This window comes from Homo sapiens, chromosome 11 (genome assembly GCF_000001405.40).
Source record: "Homo sapiens chromosome 11, GRCh38.p14 Primary Assembly".
Classification (NCBI taxonomy): domain Eukaryota; kingdom Metazoa; phylum Chordata; class Mammalia; order Primates; family Hominidae; genus Homo; species Homo sapiens.
The window spans coordinates 89,285,465-89,297,999 of NC_000011.10; the positions used below are offsets into that span (position 1 = coordinate 89,285,465).

At 35.2% G+C, this 12,535-nt stretch overlaps 1 protein-coding gene and 1 pseudogene across 2 annotated transcripts in view; one reads left to right on the plus strand and one right to left on the minus strand.

Annotated features, from left to right (window-relative positions):
• Nucleotides 1-10,295, plus strand: part of TYR (tyrosinase) — a 117,885-nt gene extending 107,590 nt beyond the window's left edge. Inside the window, exons 5-6 of one of the 2 annotated variants that reach the window (XM_011542970.3) lie at nucleotides 2,974-3,067; nucleotides 9,679-10,295. In XM_011542970.3, the coding sequence (XP_011541272.1) occupies nucleotides 2,974-3,023 (50 nt within the window). In that variant the 3' untranslated portion in view covers nucleotides 3,024-3,067; nucleotides 9,679-10,295. The remainder of the gene's footprint in view (nucleotides 1-2,973; nucleotides 3,068-9,678) is intronic. The other variant, NM_000372.5, reaches the window with a different exon arrangement.
• CBX3P7 (CBX3 pseudogene 7) lies at nucleotides 8,081-8,789 on the minus strand (annotated as a pseudogene).

Consider the following 12,535-nt stretch of genomic DNA (forward strand, 5'->3'; position numbering starts at 1 on the left):
TGTAGTTAATAATAATAGCTATTATAATGTTTATTGCTCTATGATGACGATAGTAATATAAAACCCCAGGATTAGAATTAGATTTGAGCTCTAAATAATCTTCCTGCATAGAACCATGTCAGTATCTTCTTGACAAAATGAGGAACAGATAGTAGTGTTTCCTTCTACCTGAAAGTCCACTACATGCATATTCTTTACATGTATTATTAATAAACCATATAGGAGGTAAGTTTTATTCTCCTAAGATAAAGGTGAGGACACTGATACCCAGAGAATTTAAGTGACTTTCTCAAAATCAAACACCAATAATGTGGAGAAGCAAGATTTCAATTCTAGGAGGTCCTCCTCATCTCACCGCACTGTAATTCACCTAACGCATGAGGGTTAATTATCAAAAACAGTGTGGCTTATGGGTAGGAGGTATTTAACAAGCATTGATGTTTCATTGCATTCATTGATAATGACACATAAATACATAAATAAATAAATATATAAAATAAACGAATGAAACTCAACCCTCTCACTCTTGTGCTCAAATCCAGTGATACATGACTAGCATAGTTTCATACCTGAAGAAGCTCCAGTGTGGAAGTAAGACAATTGTGCAAGGAAGTAAAAAACATCAGGCTGTGTTATGTGCAGTAAAAGAGTCATAAAGAAAATCCCACAGCAGTGCTGAAGAGAAAGCCATGACTTTTGAAGGGTTCAACCTAAAAAGAGAAAACAAGGCCTTGAGAATGAATAAGCAGGTGGCAGATAGAAAAGGGCAGGGGATATGCTAGGCAAAGAGAATAGCAAGAACAGTAGAGGTGGAAAATGTACAGCATATTTATGAAATGCTGAATTATTCTATTTGAGTAGTATGAACAGTGGAAAAGGACACGAAGAAAATAAGTTGACCCAGTTTATAATAGTTCACACATACTAAGTATTTTTTATTAGCCAGGAACTCTTCTCAATGTGCCCTATGCATTACTTCCTTAAATCTTCATAATTACTCTATGAAGTAGGTATCATTATTTCTTTTGCTTTTTCATAGATGAGGAAACAGAGTCATAAAGAGTATAAATTGATTTTCCCAGGCCACTTACCTAGTATATGGTACAATATATACACAATTTGGGGCTAACAGGAGAGGCTATAGGTCATCAACCTTGTTCTGCCCTTTGAGGGATGATTAATTGAAAAGATATGGGTTTAATTGAACTTTTCTGCTTTATCTGAAGACTGTAGCCAATGCACAAAATGCTAACACAGCTGACAAAGGAGATCAGTTTTTGGAAAATCTTAAGATCACTAAGAACAGAGAAATTTGCAAAGGGTGGAGGTGTGGTAAGAGGAGGGGTTTCCTGTAAGTCTCAAGTGACATGTCTTCTCTTTCTTCTATGAAAACCACAGTACATAAAAAAGGGAGCTTATTGGTAACTATTTTTCAAAGATTTTCCATTTAGGATTTTATGATTTAGTGTCTGTTTCCATTTCCAAAACACGCTAGACTTTCATGGGTTCATGCTTTTAAATATGCTATTGTTTCTGCCTGAATTCTGACTCTCTTTCTCCATTTGTCAAACTCTCAGATATAAAAATCATTTTATACTTATAGTGATGTTTACTCACGCCTTTCTCATAGTTACATAGCATTTCTTTCTGTGTATGAATCTGTCCTGGGTTTTATTCTTCCCCAAACCCCCAAGATCAGAATTTATCTTGCAAGCTTCTCCATTCTAAGCATCACATTGTATCTGGTATGGACTGAAATCAATAAATCAGTTTGAGTACAAGTGATATTTATCATGAAGTGTCATTTCTCTTAACTAATATAAGTGAAGTTTTCTAGAAAAATGCCACACCTCTTAATACTCTGGTCACTTTTGGATATATATTTTAAAACACTATAAGTATTCTATCACACCAGGTTTTTTTTTATGTGTCTGTACTGAGTTGTTTATTCTTTACATACACATTTATTGAATACGTACTTTGAATAACACATTGCCTTAGATACTATGGATACAATGGTAAACAACATAGTCTCTATCTTCACAAAGTTTACCATGGAAGAGAAAGATCTTAACTGCTTGCTGAAAAACTCATTTATATAGAGATATGCCTAACTCCAGGGGTCAATGAAGTGATACTTCAGATGACATCAATATGACAGGTAGAATTAACTAGTTGAAAAGGAGGACATGGTTATGAATTTGGGCCATATTGTTAGAATAATGCAAGCCACTGATAAATTTTAAGCAGGTTATAATCAAATTTGAATTTTCAAAAGATTATTGCAGCTTCAGTATGCAGAAAAATTTTAGTAGTTGGAAAGCACATGCAGAAAGCCAGTGAAAATGCTATTATAAGAGTCTGAGGAAGAGGTAAAGGTAGTTTAAGTTGCAGTGGTGGTGGCAGGAAGGGAGACAGAAAGCATGATTAATTTGATATTATTTTGAAGGCAAAATTTACAGAACTTGGAAAATTATTTATATATCAGATGAAGGAGATTAGGAATGGCTTTACGCTTTCTGGCCTGTGAAAATGATGAATGGTAGTATAATTCACTCATATAATAACAAGAGGAGCAAAGAAAGACATGGAGGAAAGCTTATGGTTTTGTTATACAGTGAAATGAAGTTATATGGGACGGCAAGGTGAATGTCTCTTGAGAAGTTGGATACACAGCCTGAAACTCAAAAGCGGTGTCTGGCCCTCAGATCCTAATGCGAGAGACATCAGCATATAAATTATTGACTCAGCTAATTTTTAAAACCCCATGGAAGGGTGATTTTTATTCTGTTTTACAGGTAAGTAAATTGAGACTCAGAAAGATAAAGTGATTAATTTTAAACTACAAAGCTAGTAAGTGTCAAATACTGAATCCAAAACTTCATCACTCCATCACTGCACAGAGAAGAGGGTTCCCTTTAACCCCTACATTGTCTTCTACGCATATGCTCCACCTCTTTGTTCCTTCCCTAGTGTCCCAATGGATACTTTTTACTACAAAGGCAACAAAATTTCCTGGATGAGCCAGGGGAGAAGAGGCTCAATGAGTCATATTAGAAGCTTGAAGGTATTTATTTCCAATTAAATTTAAAGAAACAATTTACTTGAAATGCTTTAGAGTAATTTTCACACGGCTTTGAATTTACAAAGTTAATTTTAGAGAAGTTTGACTTTAAAATAAGCAACAGCAGATACTTGGGAGGCTGAGGCAGGAGGTTCTCTTAAGCCCAGGAGTGTGAGGCCAGTTTGGGCAACACAGCAAGACTCATCTCTAAGAACAAAGCAAAACAAAACAGCTAAACTAAGTAACACCAATTGCCTATTTTCTATTTTATGAATTTTTCCATATTGTTGCCTCTGTTGTACTTTCAAGGAGTTTAAAATTTATCTCTATTCATAGCTAAATTTTAAGCTTACTAAAAAATTATTTAAGATTTCTTGATATAATTTTGTTCAAGGGGATTATTATTCATCAACCAGGTACTCATGTTTATAATTACTTAAGTGGTTTCTGTAAAAAGGCAGCTGATGTCTGCCATTTATCAAACTTTTTCTCTTATAATTGAATTTAGTGATTCTTTAGAAAATTGAGTAGCAGGTGATTTTCTCATATGTATAACTAATTTACAAGGGGAGGCCAAAAATCTTTGGCAAAGAAGGGTTATGTCTTCAATGTTGTTGATAAATGTAATCTTACTTTCTACGTAGCAGAAAAACTCTGTTGAGAGCTTCCTTCTCCCCATACATTACAAAAGACCTGGAAATTTGGTTTCAAAAATGAGAAGGGGAAACACTGTTCACAGTAACTGCAGTGCCCCATTCTGCCAATGGAATTTGATGACACTTCTATCATTCATGAATTTGTTCAATAGCTCTGTTTGGCTGTGTATACCTGTGTGCATGCTGTTCTTTTCTGCCTAGGATGGATTGCCATCAACATTATATGCTCAGAGTCTAATTCATTCTTTTACTCAGTGGGACAGTCTTCTGGGGTGCATTCCCTGACTTCACAGAGATGTAGGAAGTCTTTTCTCCATGATGCCTTTCTATCTTCATCAGAACAACATTACTCTCGAAATGATTTGTTTACCTGCCAGGTGCTGAGGGTGAAAAGGTAAATGAGACAGAGTGCCCCCCAACTCCCCGCCTACAGGTAGTGTATCTCAATGAATAAGTGATATTTTAATAAATGAGTTGAAGAAAGATAAAACAAGTAAGACATAATACTTGCTCTTGAGAGTTTGTGACAAGCTTGAAAAATAAGACATATATAAATAGATATAATTATAATAAATGGACGTTTGTGCCAAATGTCACAAGGCAGCAAAGAAACTAGTTTGAGAATCCAGAAGAGAATGGAGCTGAGTCAGCAGCTGAAGCAAGTTTGGAAAGAAAAACTCAAATTGTAAGCTGATTTAGGTGAAATATTGATGAAATTATCATTCTATCATGATAAGAATCAACAGCAGTTGTAAATTGTTTTCTATATGGTAGACATTGTACCAAGGGCTATACATACATTGTCTAGTTTAATCGCTCCAGGCAGACTCCTAATTCATTTGAGTAATGGCCCCTAACTACTTCATGTGTTTGTTTTGTGAATAAATGGGCATGTTAATGCACTTTGGAAATGATAGAGCATAAAACAAAAATCTACATAATTATTCTGAAAAGAATGGATGACAAGAAAAATAGGACTTCACAGAGGGAAGGATGATCAAAAAATTACGATATTGGGACAGAACAAAAAGGTGCACTATTGGGGCTCAAACGCAGATGGCTTACAAAGAAAGTCTGAATTTGAAGGATGTTGAGAAATAAAAGTATCTCAAAGACAGTCCCTTGGTGACAGTAAAAATTGAGACCACTTGGAATGAATTAAAGTGGAGCAATAGTAAGAGAAGCTGGAGAACAGGACTGACATAGAAATAGTATTTAAAAGCTGTGAAAGCACTTCAGCCAAGCCTTTAACAAAAAAGAAAATATTTATTATGTAGCCTCTATGTATCCTGCCTTTTTTTGGACATTTTAAATGTACTATGTATTGAAGCCACTAACAGCAATTTAAGCTAAGTATTGTAGTCCCATTTTCAAAATAATTTTAATATATATTAAAAACAGTAACTTTCAAGGTCTAGGGTTTACCCTGGGTTATATAGTCCATGATGGCTCACCAACAACCTGTCTGTATTCTAGCTAGTCAGAAAGGAAAAGGTAAATGGTTAAAGATATATTCTTTTCTTTTTAAGGGAACTTCCCCCAAAGTTATACATATATTTTTGCTCTAGACTTGAGTCACATAGCCATGACTTGCTGCAAGGTAAGCCCAGGATGCACTCTCTTCTTTCTGCTATGTCAAAAAGTAAATTTATAGTATCTTCTGTGTATGTTCTACATATATATCTTCTATATGCATTATAGAGAGCATCTTCTATAAAGGAATTGTTTTGTTAGAAAGAATCCATTTGCTCTTACTGAACAGATATTCAGTACGGACTTCCTCATTTACTCAAATCTTAATAGTCTCCTAAATAGATTCTATAGTTATATTTACATAAAATTTAAACATCTCTCCTTAACTGCTACGTGCCTTAAATATGTAGTTGATTGTGAGAATGAGATTTGTTTTTCATTAAAACAAATCTTTCCTTCCCATTTCCACAGCTGCCATTCAGGGACATTCCTTCAACATATCTTCTGGGTCCAATAACACATTCAGTCATTCAGTAAACATGTTCATTCTCTCATATGTGTTTCAGACACTGTACCAGATTCTAGAATTATATCAATGATGAAAGCACACTATTGGCCTTCAAGGAGCCATTTTAATAGAAACAATAGGTTAATTGTTGATGTATAGGGAAGTTTAATTTATGTAATACTTATCTAGCCGTATTTTATTTTTTTACTATGCATTATCTGATTATGGATTTCCTAAATATATAGTTATATCATCTATTAATTGCATCAGGTACTTTTAGTAGCATGCTTTCTAATTGTATCAGTAAAAAGACTTTTTTTTTATTTTGGAAAATTAATAGAATAAACCAAAAATAAAAATCAACTGTAATCTTATTGTTAGATTGATCACTTGTGCTGTTTTAGTCTCCTGTGTACTTTTTCTTATACTTTTTTCCACATACACATAAGTTGTTAAGCATATCTTTTAATTAATTTTGTTTTATCAAATATTATAAGCATGTTATTTTACAAGCCAAAGAGTGCTGCAAGTCTTATAACAAAATGTTTATGCCCCTATATCAGCTACTGTAACCCTTTTACCTATTTATTCTGCTATATTGCCCTGTATTTCTAAATAATAGGGAAATATTACTATCTGTTAATTCATCAAGTTTATCTTTGGAGTTCCTCATATTTAAATAATGATTTTAACTCTCTTACAGCTTCCCTGTTCTTTCATTCATCTTCTCAGTATAGTATTATCATATTTGGGGGCAAATCCACATCTAGGAATTTTACTGTTTTTACTACTACAATATTATTTACAGTTCAACCAAATAGTATGCTATGATTACGTTTGTTTTCCTGCATTACTTTTCTATTGGAATTAAGACTTTTTTTTTCATTTTAAAGCACCCATCACTGTTTATACCAAATTTTAAAAGGAACTGTAAATACTACCTCATAACATAGTGAAATATGAGTAATTTATAAATTTTTTCCCTGGGTGACATCCTTTTGTATATGTCTGCCCTTCTCATTCCACAGCTGCCATTCAGGGACATTCCTTCACCATATCTTCTGGGTCCAATAACACATTCAGTCATTCAGTAAACATGTTTATTCTCTCATATGTGTTTCAGACACTATACCAGATTCTAGAATTATATCAATGATGACAATATACTATTGGCCTTCAATGAGTCATTTTAATAGAAAAAATATTCATATAATAGATAACTGGAATATAATGTGACGGGTATGATAATAGAGGAAATGCTAAGCCAGTAACATATTGGATGCTGTCTCTCCTCAGTGCCATGTTCTTATGTGGTTTGAAGGAATATAAATAATCAGGAGGCTAAAGACTTTTCCTTGTTCAGAATTATTGTTTAAATATATGTGGTCAAAATCTGTTGTTGCTTTTTAAAGTAATGTAAAACGATTGACCACTATTCACCTTTATTTACAATAAAGGAATCAATATACAATTGGATAACATTCTGATTACTACCAAGTTATTGTTTTCCCTGGTTTCTGCTGAACCAGAAAATCGAATATTGAAAAGACTGAGTCTACCTGTAAGGAATGAGTTAAGGTAAAGAAAAAATATGCAAGTCAATACATTACAAAAGTTGTTCATCCATTTATGGCAGCAGATTCTAAACTGCCAAATCTCCAACCATCTGATTGGGTTCCTAAAGCCAAGTCTTAGACATCCCATGAATCATTACCTTTTAGTCAGTATAGCACAGGGATTTCAACTTTTTGTAAAGGAATGGCCTGCTAGAGGAATCGTTAAATGTCCATTAAATTAAGTCTTGTTTAGATAATTAAAACACAGCAGGATCTGTCTAGTTCCCTCATCTGGTTGGGGAGGTTGTTGGTAGTAATAAAATTATTCCTTTTAGGAATTTTACAAACTGTTCATTTATATGACTAAAGGTGTAGATAGGGATTCTTATATGGCTACTATTAAATGATACATTTAAATTGTCCAACTAATTATAGAATCATCTGTTTTATTTGAAATGTATGGCTTCAGGAAAATTTTGAATTTAATTTGATGTGATTTATTTCTTAGGTTGCTCAGTATGATGGCATCTCAAAAACATGGGCTTACCCATGATTTTTGTTTGGTGAATGTTTAAAAACAACACAAAAAGCCATTTATGTACACATTTTATGCATACACACACACACACACACACACACACACACACACAACCCAGAATGGTCCTTAGGATAAACGCAAGTTCTGATTGAGTAATGACTATGGAAATTTTCCCCGACATTTAGAAATGCTGTTCTCTAATGCAGAGGAAATAATACATCATTTTATGAATACGTTCATAGAAGAATAAGATATCAAATGTTCTTTTATGATAAAGGAAGCAACTACAGAAAGCTTTTATTTGTTCAAAGTAACAAGTGGTATTGATGAAAAAAAAACACACACACCAAAAAAACCCAACTCTCCCAATACTACTTTTAAAATGAACATATCAAAACTGATTTTCATTAGAATGTAGTTATTTTTCCACACTAGTTAATTAAAAGCCAAGACCCAGATATATATATCACAATGCAAACAATTAAGCTTCATCATCTGGACAAGAATGCCAACTTAGTCTCTCTTTGTAAAAAACAATTACAATTTCAAGACACTTCATATTTGCCGCTTTTGCCAGCAGCAAGTCGGCCTGATGTGAATATTCCCATTTCAGGAGAAACATCCATTCTCCACTGCTGCCTGTGGCACCAATTATTCTTTCAGGATCAAGATCTCTGGTGAAGCCTCTTGGTTTGTCGGCAGCATCTCTTTTCTTTGATTTGCTGTCATTAGATTCATTGTCAGATAAAGACTTTCTTTCTTTTTGTAATTTTTTTTTACCAGGTTTTTTAGAATTAAGGAATGTTTCAATTAACTCTGGACAATCTAAATTTTCTGCGGGTTCCCAAGTACTGTCAACATCTGACGTCCCTTAAACTTCAGGAAATGCTCCACCTTCCCTTTTGCTGTAATTCGATCCAGTAGTTTTTCCACAAATGCTTCAGGCTCTGCCTCTTCGACTTTTTTACCCTTTTCATTCTGTTTTCTTTTTTCCTCCCTTTTTAAAATTATTTATTATTTTTTGCACTGTAGTTTCATTTCAGGCTTTTGGGGTTTTTTTGTTTGTTTGTTTTGGTTGTTGTTGTTTGATTTTGGCAGACCCGAAGGGCTATTATTCTTACATATATCGGCTCCCCTAAGCCCCGCCCCTCCAGGCTTTACTTTCAGAGTCCTGAGGCCTATAAAGGCCAGGCCCCTGCCCTCCAGCAGGGAGTGCGTCTCTGAGGAGAAACAAAGGCCCAGAGTGCGGACGCTCCAGGGTACCGCGGCACAGGGCCCACTCCTATGCCACTGCGGCCCGGTAACCAAGAGCGCCCCCAACCCCCGAAGCCTTAGGACAGAGGGACGGTGCCCATGCGCCAAAATCTGTTTCAAGATTTAAGACTGTGACCTCTGTGAATACAGAGATTGTTCAAATGCCCTAGGGTTCTTGGGAGGCTACTAAGATTGCTGAGCATTTGCCAACATTACTATTAATGTCTGTCAAATAATTAAAAGACTGGATTAGTGAATGGTTAATGATATAACGGTGTTCTATTGATAATCGGAATAGTTACAACATCCTTTCACAGAAAAAGATGGAAAAATCACAGCTAACATTTAATTGAGTACACACTATATACCAGGCCCTGAATCACTTACGGATGTTATCTATAAAATTCAAACGTTCCAACAAGAGGGGTATTATTTTCCCATTTTTCTGATGAAGAAACTGAGGCTTTGGAGTATTAGGTGTAACTTTCCCAAGCTCTTACAGTTAATAAGTAGTAGAGCTGGCCTTCAAACCCAGGTGTCTACTCCAAAGGACTGTGAAAGGATGAAGATGATGGTGATCGTAACAATGGTGGTAACAATAAAAACAATGGGATGTCTTTTTATTTCAGACCCAGACTCTTTTCAAGACTACATTAAGTCCTATTTGGAACAAGCGAGTCGGATCTGGTCATGGCTCCTTGGGGCGGCGATGGTAGGGGCCGTCCTCACTGCCCTGCTGGCAGGGCTTGTGAGCTTGCTGTGTCGTCACAAGAGAAAGCAGCTTCCTGAAGAAAAGCAGCCACTCCTCATGGAGAAAGAGGATTACCACAGCTTGTATCAGAGCCATTTATAAAAGGCTTAGGCAATAGAGTAGGGCCAAAAAGCCTGACCTCACTCTAACTCAAAGTAATGTCCAGGTTCCCAGAGAATATCTGCTGGTATTTTTCTGTAAAGACCATTTGCAAAATTGTAACCTAATACAAAGTGTAGCCTTCTTCCAACTCAGGTAGAACACACCTGTCTTTGTCTTGCTGTTTTCACTCAGCCCTTTTAACATTTTCCCCTAAGCCCATATGTCTAAGGAAAGGATGCTATTTGGTAATGAGGAACTGTTATTTGTATGTGAATTAAAGTGCTCTTATTTTAAAAAATTGAAATAATTTTGATTTTTGCCTTCTGATTATTTAAAGATCTATATATGTTTTATTGGCCCCTTCTTTATTTTAATAAAACAGTGAGAAATCTACATTAACTGACTCCTTTAGGCTTCAGAAACACATTTTTATTCTCTTCAGAAAGGATGATATTCCCCTTTATTTTACATTTCTGCTCCAAAATACATTATGGACTTCAAATAGAAAAGAACCTTTAGCTCTTTCCTGTCATAGCTCTGACGATATTTTTTAAGGTCACTGAGAACAAGGGCCCAGCGTCTATAACACATCCAGCTAAGTGCCTGTCTCAAGATGTGTCCATTAAATATTTTAATGATGATAACTATATTAACATCTTTTCACCTCCTAAAAAGTATCTTATTAGAGAAAGTTTAAAATGCAATCAAACATTTGAAGTTTGAACAATTATCTGAATATTAGCCTTTCTGTAGTTCTAGTAAAATAACTCATTTCCATTTTCCTCGCCTATTAAGATTTCAAATTAGAATGTTCAGATAATCCTACTACTTAAATTTTGGGGCCCTATTGATTTCCAAAAAAAGTAAAATTGATATTGCATTTGTATTATGGCTATGCATAGCATAAAAGACTAGGATCAGTGGGAAGAAGTTATAGTGGGCCCATTTTAGTTCAATAAGGGGAAACATTGTTCAATACTCAGAGTTACAAAATCAAAATGGACACCTTTGGACAATAATAAGTGGTTACCACTGGAAGTCTTCACATACTGGATTGGGTGGCTAATTTGATTTGGAATCTATAGAGAAAATTTAAGCAGTGAGTCTATATTATCTTTATTTAAATTGGCTCAGGGTTCTTACCAACTCTCCCCACTGTAAAGCAAAGTTAACCATGCTCTATAAAAAGTCCCTATTACTCTTCCACATTATTTTAGGGGTTTTCACCATTCTTTCTTTCAGCCTCCAACCAAATTAATTTACTTTGTCCAGGTGTTCCCAGTCTCTTCAGTTTCCTTATACCTAGTTGTGCTTGTCTGCTTAGGATTTTCAAATAGTATCTCAGTTTGACTACTTTTGTTTCCAGTGTCATCTTTGAATACCATACTTTCTCTGTTCCTTGGTGGTATATTAAAGGCAGACCTACTCAATCCAGGCTCCTAGAAACCTCTCTGGGTCTGGCATCTGAGCCCTACATCTCTGGGAAGGTAGTTAAGACGAGACACACAGGTTTTTCTGAGGTACCTTTCAGTCACAAGATTCTATAACTACTAAAAGTTCTGCAGCATAGCATTCTGATAGTTTATAAATGCATTTAAAAATAAATTGTCTGAAAAATTTGAGCTCTTGGAAACACCTTTATCTGTATAAGACTGACCTAAAAATCAAGACCACATAATTTTCAAATGATTACTTTTTATTTAGTCCCATTTTAGATTTCAAAGAGAGGCAAATATCATCCTACTTTACACATGTCCTAACCACACACATGTCCTAACCACACATTTTGGTTAATTTTAAAATCTACAATAAGGAAAAATTTATGATTATTTCTGAAGTTATCTTATTAATTATCAGAAATTCCGAACAGTTACTAAACTTGGTAATAGAGCAGCAGTCATCTTCTGACTCTCATTAGTTGTCAGACTTAAGCTAGCATGTCTAATTTCTGATACTGACTGCAGGAAAATCTAGCAAGAAGTGGGGAGTAGCACCCATGGACACAGTGGAAGTCTGTGGGAGGAAACGATAAATACCAGGGAGTATATCCTCAACTCAGTACATAACCAGCAAAAAAGATTTCAAGAAGATCATTAACAATGGTGTCTGAGGATTAGAGTCAATTATAGATGGGAATTGAAGCTAGTTAAATGAAGAGCAAGAAGGAATGGGAAAAGAAATTTGCACAATAGTCTGTAGAAGACTCTGAAGAAGGAATAACGGTGATTGGGGGCACCTTTAGTCACAGATCACACATGTGGGTGGGTCTGGCTTACCTAACAGGGGCCAAGGTGTTGTGGACACTGCAAAACAACTATGTGTGGGTCACTTATCTAGGAATGATTTGAAGGCAAGATTTTAGTCCAGGGTGGTATGTTTCAATCATTTTTGCAACACATTTTGAATAAAAGTCCACCTAAGAAATTGTCATTGTTACTGAGAGGGAGCCATATAAAGTCATTTTTTTCCTTTGTCACAGGCAATTCCCTCCATCACCGCACCTCAATATAGAACATCATTTTGTTTCTCTAGAGGCTTGAGGTGTCTATTTGTATAAAAGCAACATCTATGATGAAACCATCATCACTTTAACTCCATGGTTTTCTCAATATGGCACAGAAATTACATGACTG